General features: G+C 46.1%; 1 protein-coding gene across 7 annotated transcripts in view; it reads right to left on the reverse strand.

The window, feature by feature from the left end:
* Positions 1-4566: 4566 nt before the first annotated feature.
* The window catches only part of TPST2 (tyrosylprotein sulfotransferase 2), a 68137-nt gene continuing 60588 nt past the window's right edge, over positions 4567-12115 (reverse strand). For 6 of the 7 annotated variants that reach the window (NM_001362922.2, NM_003595.5, NM_001362923.2 and 3 more), the window contains 2 exons: positions 10785-10833; positions 4567-8838 (listed from right to left, as the gene is read on the reverse strand). In NM_001362922.2, coding sequence (NP_001349851.1) covers positions 10792-10833 — 42 coding nt within the window. In that variant the 3' untranslated portion in view covers positions 4567-8838; positions 10785-10791. Of the gene's footprint in view, positions 8839-10176; positions 10834-12115 lie in introns of all 7 variants that reach the window. The other variant, XR_007067981.1, reaches the window with a different exon arrangement.

The raw sequence follows: 12115 nt of genomic DNA on the forward strand, positions 1-12115 counted from the left end.
CCAAAGTGCTGGGATTGCAGGGGTGAGCCACCGTGCCCGGCTGCGCCTGGCCCATTTTTGCAATATCTTATTGGTTACACATTCAGCCCTATATAGGGTTGCCAGATGTAGTAAATAAAAATACAGGATGCCCAATTAAACTTGAAGTTTAGATAAAACAATGAATAATAGTATATGTATGTCTCGTAAAATATTGCGAAATACTAAAAAATTATCTGAAATTCAAATTTAACCACCATCCTGTATGGAACCCTAACCCTATTCAGTGCACAAAGGAAAAACATGCCAAAGTGGGTGTGAATACCAGGAGGCCAGGTTCACTGGGGGCCATCTTGGAAGCTGGCTTCTACAACCTTAACATGCTGGGCATGGTAGACTATGGGGATAAATGGTAAACAATGAAAAATAATGATTCCTGTTCTCATGCAGTTTGTAGCCTGTTGAATAAAATCAACTTGAATCAACCCAGCAGGAAAATAAATACAAAACCTTAACGATTATAAAAGTGCTTCAGAGAGAAATAGCTGATGCTTGGGACAGTGATGGGGTCCTCATCAAAATAGCCACTTTTTTTTTTTTTTTTTTTTTTTTGAGACAGGGTCTTGCTCTGTCTCCCAGGCTGGAGTGCAGTGGCATAATCATAGCTCACTGCAGCCTCAACCTCCTGGGCTCAAGTAATCCTCCTGCCTCAGCCTTTCGAGTAGCTTGGACTACAGGCTGCAGTAGCCAAACTCAGCTAATTTTTTAAGATCTTTTTGTAGCGATGAGGGCTCACTATGTTGCCCAGGCTGGTCTTGAACTCCTGGCTTCAAGTGATCCACCTTGGCCTCCCAAAGTGTTGGGATTATAGGCGTGAGACACCTCACCTAGCCCACTTTTGCTTTATAGATTTGAGTTTTTACATGTGATTTGATTTGTCTCTATGGGCGTATAAGGAGTATATGGAGGGATCTGTTGCTAAAACAAGGAAATAAAACCCTGAAATGCAAGGTTTTGAATCTTAGCAAAATCCGTAAGCACACACAAATGAATGCACATAAACATGGCGAAAACTGAATAAGGTCTGTAGTCCAGTTAACAGTTTTTACTAATGCTAATTTCCTGGTTTTGCTATTGCACTACAGTTGCATCAGATATCAGCATTGGGGGAAGCCAGGTGAAGGACACATGGAACCCTTTGCACCACTTTTTCCACTTCACATGAGTCTACAATTATTTCAAAATAAAAAGTTAATAAACAACCCATTTAAAAAAAAGCAGCTGTTGTTTGGAAATGGAAACAAGGTTAGATCAAAATAATCCAGACTTGGCGGGGTGCGGTGGCTCATGCCTGTAATCCCAGCACTTTGGGAGGCCGAGGTGGGTGGATCACCTGCGGTCAGGAGTTCAAGACCAGCCTGACCAATATGGCAAAACCCCATCTCTACCAAAAATACAAAAATTAACTGGGCGTCGTGGCATGTGCCTGTAGTCCCAGCTCCTTGGGGGGCTGAGACTGGTAAGTTGCTTGAATCCAGGAGGCGGCGGTTGCAGTGACCCGAGATCTCGCCACCGCACTCCAGCCATGATAGAGCAAGACTCAGTATCAAAAAAAAAAAAAAAAAAAAAAATCCAAATTCATGAAAGGACTGGAGGAGGGCCTGATGTGGTGGAGCCAGGGATTCTGTCTGAAGAAAAAGAATTCTTTTTTTTTTTGAGATGGAGTTTCGCTCTCGTTGCCCAGGCTGGAGTGCAATGGTACAATCTCGGCTCACTGCAACCTCCACTTCCCGGGTTCAAGCCATTCTCCTGCCTCAGCCTCCCGAGTAGCTGGGATTACAGGCATGGGCCACCATGGCCAGCTAATTTTGTGTTTTTAGCAGAGATGGGGTTTCTCCATGTTGGTCAGGCTGTTCTTGAACTCCCTACCTCAGGTGATCCGCCCACCTAGGTCTCCCAAAGTGCTGGCATTACAGGTGTGAGCCACCATGCCCAGCAGGAATGGAATGCTTATTGTTAATTATCCTGAGCAGTGTGGGTTTAGAACACAGAATGAGGCCAACTTTGAGGACAGGGGTAAGAGGTGTCTTTCTGGTTCTGGGCCCAGATGTGGGGTCCGGAGAGGCCTGGAACACTTCCATTGGTAGGACCAGTTGTCTCTGGTCCCAAGGAACAGGCTGGGGAAACCCTCAAAGAAGCCTGGGTTTTTTGGTGACCTAGCCTCTTAATTTAAATAGTAGACGAAAGAAATGTTTTCATTTTCTACCCCAAAATGAAGAAAGGGAATATTCTGGTGACATTGGTGTATCCCAGAGATCTGAAAGCCATTTGCTGACCCACAATTGAGGCTGATCAATTGTTTTTTAAGGATAACTGTGGCCAATTGTTGATGGGTTTTCTGTTGTTGTTGTGGTTTGTTTTTTGTTTTTTGAGACAGGGTCTCGCTCTGTCAACCCAGGCTGGAGTGCAGGCAGTGGCACAGTCAAGGCTCACTGCAGCCTTGTCCTGCTGGGCTTAAGTGGTCCTCCCACCTCAGCCACCCAAGTAGCTGGGACTACAGGTGCTTGCCACCATGCCCAGCTAATATATTTTTTTGAGACGGAGTCTCACTCTGTCGCCCAGGCCGGAGAGCAGTGGCACCATCTCGGCTCACTGCAACCTTTGCCTCTCAGGCTCAAGTGATTCTCCTGCCTCAGCCTCCTGAATAGCTGGGATACAGGCGTGAGCCACCACGCCCGGCTAATTTTTTTGTTTTGTTTTCTTTTGAGACAGGGTCTCACTCTGTCACCCAGATTGGAGTGCAATGCCTCAATCTTGGCTCACCACCACAACCTCTGCCTCCCAGGCTCAAGCGATTCTCCTGTCTCAGCCTCCTGAGTAGCTGGGATTACAGGCGTGCGCCACTACCACCCAGCTAATTTTTTTGTATTTTTAGTAGAGAGGAGATTTCACCATGTTGGCCAGGCTGGTCCTGAACTCCTGACCTCAAGATGATCCACCCGCCTTGGTCTCCCAAAGTGCTGCGATTACAGGTGTGAGCCACCACACCCAGCTTCCCGCTAATTTTTTTTTTTTTTTTGTATTTTTAGTAGAGACGGGTTTTTACCATGTTGGCCAGGCTGATCTCAAACTCCTGACCTCAGGTGATCCGCCCGCCTCAGCCTCCCAAAGTGCTGGGATTATAGGCATGAGCCACCACACCCAGCTCGAGCTAATTTTTTAAACTTTTTGTAGAGACAAGGTCTCATTATTTTGCCCAGGCTGGTCTCGAACTCCTGGACTCTTGTGACATTTGTTCAGGGGGAAGCCAACACCATGTATGAAGTTTAACCACCCTGAGATGGCCACGTCCTGAAGAAGCCCAGTCTAGCCATGCGGAGAGACTACATGCATAAGAGGTACCCCACTAAGCCTCTAGATGCTCCAACCATCCCAGCCGAGGTACCAGACAAATGAATGAAGAAATCTTCAGCTGCCATCTGACTAGAGAACCACCAGCTCACTCTAGTTAATTCCCAAAACTGAGCGGTTTTTTTTTTTTTTTTTTTTTCAGACAGGGTTTCACTCTGTCCCCCGGGCTGGACTGCAGTGGTGTAATCACAGCTCACTGCAACCTCCACTTCCAAGGCTCAAGTGATTCTACCTCAGCCTCCCCAGTAGCTGGGACTACAGGCACAAGCCACCGTGCCTTTTTTTTTTTTTCTTTTTTTTCTAGAGACCAGGGTTTCACCATGTTGCGCAGGCTGGTCTTGAATTTCTGGGCTCAAGTGATCCTCCTGCCTTGGCCTCCCAACTTACTGGGATTACAGGCCACTGGGATTACAGTTCTAGCCACTGCACCTGGCTAGAACTGAGAGATTTAACAAGTTGTGGCCAGGCGCGGTGGCTCACGCATGTAATGCCAGCACTTTGGGAGGCCAAGGCAGGTGAATCACCTGAGGTCAGGAGTTCGAGACCAGCCTGGCCAACATGATGAAACCCCATCTTTACTAAAAATACAAAAATTAGCCAGGTGTGGTGGCGGGTGCCTGTAATCCCAGCTACTCTGGAGGCTGAGGCAGGAGAATTGCTTGAACCCAGGAGGCGGAGGTTGCAGTGAGCCAAGATCACACCATTGCACTCCAGCCTGGGCGACAAGAGTGAAACGCTCTCAAAAAAACATACAAACAAACAAAAAAACAAGTTGTTTTAAGTCACTCAGTTTGGGGCTGCTTGGTTGGGCCGCAAGAGATGAGTGGAACAATGAATGAGACTGGATGTCCTCTGCTACCCAATGACTGGCAACCATGAGCTTCCTGGGTCTGTAATTCCATCAGCTGTCCATCCCTTACCCTGGAAGGGTAGAGGATTTATTCTTTGGGTAGACATAGTTTAAGAGTTTTTTTGTTTTTGTTTTTTGTTTTCAATGAAAAATTGCCAAGCCCTTTGGAGGCCCTGATGGCTCAACCAGGTTGGTGGCTGCTAACGAGAGTGAAGATCTATATTCAGTCCATCTGGCACATGTGCAGAAGACCCTTCTCCAACCCCAGATCATGACTACAAATGGCTATCAGTTGGACAAACATACATCCTGATGAGAAGATATGGTTGGTTCATCACAACCTTTTATTTCACAATATTAATAGTAATCATTATAGCTACCATGTATTAAGCCTTCACCATGGGGCTGTTAAGTCTTCATTGCTTAGCTTTACTAAACTAGATAATGTGTTTGCTTATCTCATGGATTTCTCTTAACCATCCCCTGAGATCCCCCTATAGTTCTTATCCCTTTACCCCCATTTTACAGAAGAGGAAAACTGAGGCTCAGAGAAGGGGAGTCACTTGGCCACAGTCGCACAGTTGGAAAGTGGTAGAGCCAGGATGAGACGCTAATTCTGACTCCAAAGCTAGTTATATATAATAATAGCACCCAAGTAATGTATAGATTACCATGTTTTCACATATGGCAAATTAAGGAATCAGAATGAATGATGCATGCTGCCCAAGCTGGACAGAGGATGGGCCAGGGCACAAGTGACGGCTGACCCACTGATCCATGGAACCCCCAAGAAAGGCTCTAGAACAAAGCTCTGATTTCACAGTGAGATTAAAATTCTGCCCAAATCAGGGTACATGGGTGGAATTAATCAAAAAAGTTAGTATGTATGCCTTTCACCCCAGCAATTCTACTTCTCATTTTGCAGAGACTCACTCATACAGTGGCATCAAGAGGTTATATGTGCAGGAGAACGTCCACTGCAGCTTTGCCAGTAGCGATGAAAACTGCTAACAGCCTAAGGGCCTAGCCAAAGTGGAATGCTCAAAAAAGATGGTTTGCTCTAGAACAGGCAGCTGGTAAAAGGAGTGGTGTTAGATCAGCACATGTTCACATCAGAAATGCTCCAGGAGCCAGGTGCGGTGGCTCACGCCTGTAAACCCAACTCTTTGAGAGGCTGAGGAAGGATTGCTTGAGCCCAGGAGTTTGAGACCAGCCTGGGCAACATAGTGATTCCCCTCTTTACAAAAAATAAAAAGTTAGGTAGGTGTCATGGTCCAGCTACTCAGGAGGCTGAGGTGAAAGGACTGCTTGAGCCCAGGAGTTAGAGGTTGCAGTGAGCTGTGTTTGCAGGAGTTAGAGGTTGCAGTGAGCTGTGTTTGCAGGAGTTAGAGGTTGCAGTGAGCTGTGTTTGCAGGAGTTAGAGGTTGCAGTGAGCTGTGTTTGCAGGAGTTAGAGGTTGCAGTGAGCTGTGTTTGTGCCACTGCACTGCAGCCTGAGCAACCAAGCGGGACTCTGTCTCCAAAACAAACAAACAAACAATCCTCCAGAGCAATCTGTTAAATTACATTTTGGAATAACCTATTCAAAATGGTTTTTTCCATACGTCTTTAAGATGATAATATTTATATGTTCAAAAATTTAAAGTCTGGAAGACTATGTACAAACAGAAAATGGTAGCATTACCTTTAGGAGCTATTGAGAGGAAGTACAAATAGAGCCACTTGCCTTCTTACTATCAATTCTGATTGTCCCATGTTTTATAATATATTCATGTAGTACTCTAAACAAAATCTTTTCAGATCAAATCAGGGGAGATGAAATGAGAGTGGATTCTGAGCCTAGTTTTTTTCAGGGAACAAGACCCAGTGCTACCACTTAGGGGCTAGAAACAGAAATTGTATTTATTTTATTTTGTTTTATTTATTTTATTTTTGAGATGGAGTCTCACTCTGTTGCCCAGGCTGGAGTGTACTAGCATGATCTTGGTTCACTGCAACCTCTGCCTCCTGGGTTCAAGCAATTCTCCTGCCTCAGCCTCCCAAGTAGCTGCAACTACAGGCATGCGCCACGACGCCCAGCTAATTTTTGTATTTTTAGTAGATGGGGTTTCGCCACGTTGGCCAGGCTGGTCTGGAACTCCTGACCTCAGCTTATCTGCCCACCTCAGCCTCCCAAAGTGCTGGGATTACAAGCATGAGCCACCGGGCCCGGCCTCTTTATTTTCTTTCAGTGTTTTCCCAGGAAGTTCTCTGAACATCCAGGGTCTTCACAGATGGACTTCTCATAAAAGGTAACTCCTGGAACCAGACATAAATTTTTTTTTTGGGGTGTGTGGTGATGGGATACATAGCTGTCGCCAGATTCTCAAAGGGACAGTGTCACACTTAACAGAGCAAGGAGAGTAATCGGTGATTGGTGAATGATCATTTATCAGAGACTGTGTGTCAAACATTTAAAAAATAAAAAGTAACTGCTGAAGAAATGAACAAAAAGGGTCACACCTTCAAAAAAGCCTAATTTCCATTCCAGAGCAATCTCAAGACAAGGAAAAATAAGAGCTGCTTCACACTGAGGGCTTATCTGGTATCAAGGACCACCGCCAATGTCATCCATTAGCCATCCCCAATAAACCCATGAAGTTCAGCCTGAACAGCATAGAAAGACCTCGTCTCTACAGAAAAAAAAAAATTTAAAAAGTAGCCAGGTGTGGTGGCACATGCCCAGCTACTCAGGAGGCTAAGATGGGAGGATCACCTGACCCTAGGAGACCGAGGCTGCAGTGAGCTATGATCACGCCACTGTACTCTAGCCTGAGTGACAGAGCGAGATTCTGTCTAAACACACACATACACACATACACACCATGAAGTTTTAACTTCCCCATTTTACAGATGAAGAGACAAAGTCTCAAGCCATACAGCCAGTAGGTCAGCCTGACTCCAAAAACCCATGCCCCAAGCCACAATAAGTCACTGCCTTCCAAAAGCCTCATATTATCATGAGATATAAGGCAAGGAGGTATGGGTAAAACACCTTAACCCTTAAAGATACAAACTTATTGTAGGCCCAGTTGGTCCCTCAGCATTTGGGGACTGTGCTATAAGGGTTAACTCAGCAGGCTTGAAGTGTCCAAACCCAGCACATCTCAAAGAAAAAACTGGCCTTAATGGGCTCCTGGGAGATAACCTCTAAGTCCTTGGAATATCCTCCCAAGTAGGGGTGTCTTTGTATACCTCAGGCCTTGGGCCATACCAGGCCAGATAGTTTGTGCTAATAATGTGATTTATGGTGGGGACCTTGGGCCATGCTGTATCATTTTGACCTCTGGAGCAGCTGGTGATTAAGTAACTAAAGTCGGTCATGTGATTGCCCTATGTGACTGACATGCAATAAAAACCTAGACCCCAAGGCTAGGGTGAGCTTTCTGGCTGGTAATATTTAGTACGTGTTGTCACATATCATTGCTGGGAAAATTAAGTGTGTCTGTAAGACTCTACCAGGAGATGACAACTGGAAGCTTGAGGCCGGTCTCTCCCGGACTCTGCCCTATGCACCTTTTTCTTTTGTTGATTTTATTTTGAGATGGAGTCTTGCTCTGTCACCCAGGCTGGAGTATAATGGCACGATCTCCGCTCACTGCAACCTCCGCCTCCCAGGTTCAAGCCTCCTGAGTAGCTGGGATTACAGGTGCACACCACCACGCCCAGGTAATTTTTGTATTTTTAGTAGAGACGGGGTTTCACCATGTTGGCCAGGCTGGTCTCGAACTCCTGACCTCAGGCGATCTGCCTGCCTTGGCCTCCCAAAGTGCTGGGATTACAGGCGTGAGCCACTCCACCCGGCCTCTTTTGCTGATTTTAATGTTTATCCTTTTGCTGTAATAAACCATAACCATAAGGATAATAGCTCTTCTGAATTCTGAGTTCTTCTAGCCAATCATCGATCCTGGGGGTGGCCCTGGGGACCCTGACACAGGAATTCAGCTGTGCCTTACATGCACCTATATTCTCCAGCTTTTTGCTCATCACAAATCTACCTGACAAAATCCAGTATGGAAAGAAAAAAAAAACCCTATTCATTCAGTAAAGTAAGGCACAAACAAATGAGCCTCTGTTCACTTTATTCAAAGAGTATTTTTTTCCTCTGTGAAACTAGGTAGAACTGAGGAGGAATCAAAGAAAGCCTCATATATTAAACTCTTAAATAGATTCTTTGAATTCAAAGTAAGGGTCAATAGGAGAGGCACAGGTTGTGGGCCTTGTCCCAGCAAACAAAGCCACCAAGGCAGTCCTGCAAATTAAGGAGGATGGCAAATCTGTCTCTTAAAAAAAAGTTCTTGAGGGGAAAAATATAAAATACCTAAGTTTCAAAAGCCGGACTACTTCCATACCCTTCATTCTCTACCCTGGAGTGTCCAGAGATAGAGAGTTTCAAGGTACGTTTTCAATGATTCAGCTTTTGCAAACATATGCAAATACATTCCTCATCAGCAGTCCTGTTTTGGCGATTAATAGCAAGCAATATGCTTGGATTAGAGGTCCGATTTCCACTTAAATGCATTTTCTTCTCTTCTTGGCAATGAAGTCATTTGCGGAGATCTGAAAGTGGGGAAGACTGTGTTAGGCTCAGAGTAACAATTCTGAAATAGATCATTTATATTTATACATGTGATTGCAGAACATACTGTCTTCATCCATTCGCATAAGCATGTAATGTTTTAAGAATGCATCCCAGATGGCCAGAGAGAGTTTAAATTTAAAAACGTTTCCTGGGTTCTTCCCCACATCTCATCTTGCATCCACTTGACCTCAAATATACACTTTTCTTATGGACACAGAGCAAATGACAGTGATTATGTGATAAATACTGATGAATTCTTGGAGGCAAGAGAAGGACTCATGTTTGTTCAAGGCCAACTCTGTACCCAGGATTCAGCTAAAGCACCTCTATATGGTATCTCATTTAAACAGTAAAACAAGTAACAAATCTGCTTTTGTCAATGAGAAGGTCCAGGATTCTACTAATGATCTGCAGAAAGGCAGCGAGGGAACAGTTAGTGAGGAACAGGGAGGAAAGCTGTTTTTCATGAGAGGGTTCTTTTCTTTGGAATAGAACTATGGGATCTTGGGTAGGTGTGGTGGCTCATGCCTGTAATCCCAGCACTTTGGGAGGCTGAGGTGGGCAGATCACTTGAGGCCAGGAGTTTGAGACCAGCCTGGCCAACATGGTGAAACCCCGTCTCTACTAAAAATACAAAAATTAGCTGGGTGTGGTAGCGCACACTTGTAACCCCAGCTACTTGGAAGGCTGAGGCACGAGAGTCACTTGAACCCCAGAAGGTGGAGATTGCTGTGAGCTGAGATCGTGCCACTGCACTCCAGCCTGGGGAACAGGGTGAGACTCTGTCTCAAAAACAAAAACTCTGGGATCTTAGTGCAACTCAAGATGGGAACCCTAATAATGACAGAGTCCTTGCAGGTTGGAGCAAAGTAAATTGAAAGAAAAACTAAAACATATGCTGATTGTTTAAAAATAGATACAGAGACTAAAAATAAGAGTCCAAGCTGGAAGGTGTTTCCATGTAAAATAACCTCTCTTGAGGTTTCCTTTAACCTGATCATAGAGGCTGGGGGACAGAAGGAAGTGAGCTCACTCATGCAGCCTTAACTCCAGTGCCCAAGTCCACAGCGAGGGCCCAGCACTTCACGGTTTCCAAGCACTCCCACCTGGGCCAGCTCACGCCATCTCATGGCCAACCTCAGAGGTGGGCAATGATGAATCCCCATTCTCCAGATGAAGAAAACAGGGGCTGAAGGGAGTTAAACCTGGAGATCTTAAATCTTTGAATTACCAAGTTCAAAAAAATCCCTTTCCCCACCCCTTAGTAGAATATGGATGGATAAATGTGCACTTAAAATCATTCACTAAAAGCAAACCTGGGAGGAATTCTGTCCCTTGGTGGCTGTGTAGCCTTGGGCAAGTCAAAGCCCTTCCTTCTCTGTGCTTTGGTTTTCTCTTCTGTAAAATGGAATGATCATGTCATCCGCCTCCCAAGGATGCTGAGGGTTAAATGAGTAACACAGGACCAGTACCTGGCCCAACGGCCATGGGGGTTATTCTTAGAACAGAACGACTTGTGACTGTTATTAGAACATTAATTGCTCTGGCCCAACGCTGATGCTGTTTTTAGAAGCCAGACTGGCAGACAGCATTCTGTGCAAAAATGGTTCCAGAATCTCCCCCTCCCCCATCATAGTGGTGCTTCCTGCCCTGTCCCCAGTGTCAGACAAACCTTTTTCTGGTTGGTTCAGCGTTAATCCCTCTCCCTGTCCTTGATCCAGAGCTAGAAAACTAAGCCTTGATTCTATAAATAGCACCCCCAGTCTGTCACCATGGAAACCTCTGATGGGGCTGGGTCAGCCCACCCTAGTGGACATGTCTACCCCAGGGAGGCTCTGGAAGGACAGAAAAGTGGCTTTTCAGAAAAGTGGCTCCGGGGCCACCCAGAAGCAGCGGGAACCCCCAGTGAAGTCCACAGGCTTACCTGGAAATCACGAGCTTCCTAAGTGGGAGGAGGTGCTGTTCTGGTTCACCTGGAGAAAGACAATACACAGAAGAAGGGGTCACGGCCAGGTGAGGGATGCCTTGCTGTATTGAGGGTCACCCCTCAGCATCACTGAGTCATGCACATGCTTATTCACGTAGTATTTACTGTACATCTACTATGTGCCAGGTGCTGGGATAGCGTGGTGAGCGGGACAGACCCAAACCTAGGATCACGGAACTTACGTTCGAGTTGAAGAAAAAGCCTACTGAACACGCACAGATGCAAGAAAATGTCAAACTTGGGCAATATGACAGGCTGCTATGAGTGATCAGTATCTGTGCTACTTCAAAAACGGTGGCCAGGAAAGGACTCTACAAGATGGCATTTCAGCTGTGGTATAATAATAAATATTTGTTCATTGTCCCCAGTTCCTGGCACATAGCTCCCCAAACTCTTGGAATCTCTGAAGGAATAAGGGTATCTTGGCCGGGCGCCATGGCTCATGGCTGTAATCCCAGCGCTTTGGGAGGCCGAGGAGGGTGGATCACCTGAGGTCAGGAGTTTGAGACCAGCCTGGCCAACATGGCAAAACTCTGTCTCTACTAAAATACAAAAATTAGCCGGGTGTGGTGGCGGGCACCTGTAATCCTAGCTACTCAGGAGGCTGAGGCAGGAGAATCGCTTGAACCCGGGAGGCAGAGGTTGCAGTGAGCCAAGATCATGCCACTGCACTCCAGCCTGGGTGACAGAGGGAGACTAGGTATCAAAAAAACAAAAACAAAAACAAAAAAAAAACAAAACGTATCTTTTGCATGCTAATGACATGACTAATGGCTGGGGGTCCCTAGATAGCTTCAGGATTAGGGGAAGGGGTCTCAGAAAGACCAAGGCATGATTAGAGGGTTGGAACTTTTTTTGTTGTTTGAGACGGAGTCTCACTGTGTTGCCCAGGCTGGATGGAGTGCGGTGGTGCAATCTTGGTTCACTGCAACCTCCGCGTCCTGAGCTCAAGCAATTCTCCTGCCTCAGCCTTCCAAGTAGCTGGGACTACAGACGTGTGCCACCACGAATGGCTAATATTTTTTGTATTTTTAGTAGAGACAGGGTTTCACCATGTTGGCCCGGCTGGTTTTGAACTGCTGACCTCAAGTGATCTGCCTGCCTCAGCCTCCCAAAGTGCTAGGATTACAGGCATGAGCCACCACACCCAGCCAGAAGGTTGGAACTTTAAGCCCCACCTGCCTTCTCCCCTCCCTGACCTCCTGGGAGGGGAGAGGGGAGAGGGTCTAGGGGCTAGGAGCTGGAGATTGGGCAATCACCCATGACCC

This window comes from Homo sapiens, chromosome 22, assembly GCF_000001405.40.
Source record: "Homo sapiens chromosome 22, GRCh38.p14 Primary Assembly".
Classification (NCBI taxonomy): Eukaryota; Metazoa; Chordata; class Mammalia; order Primates; family Hominidae; genus Homo; species Homo sapiens.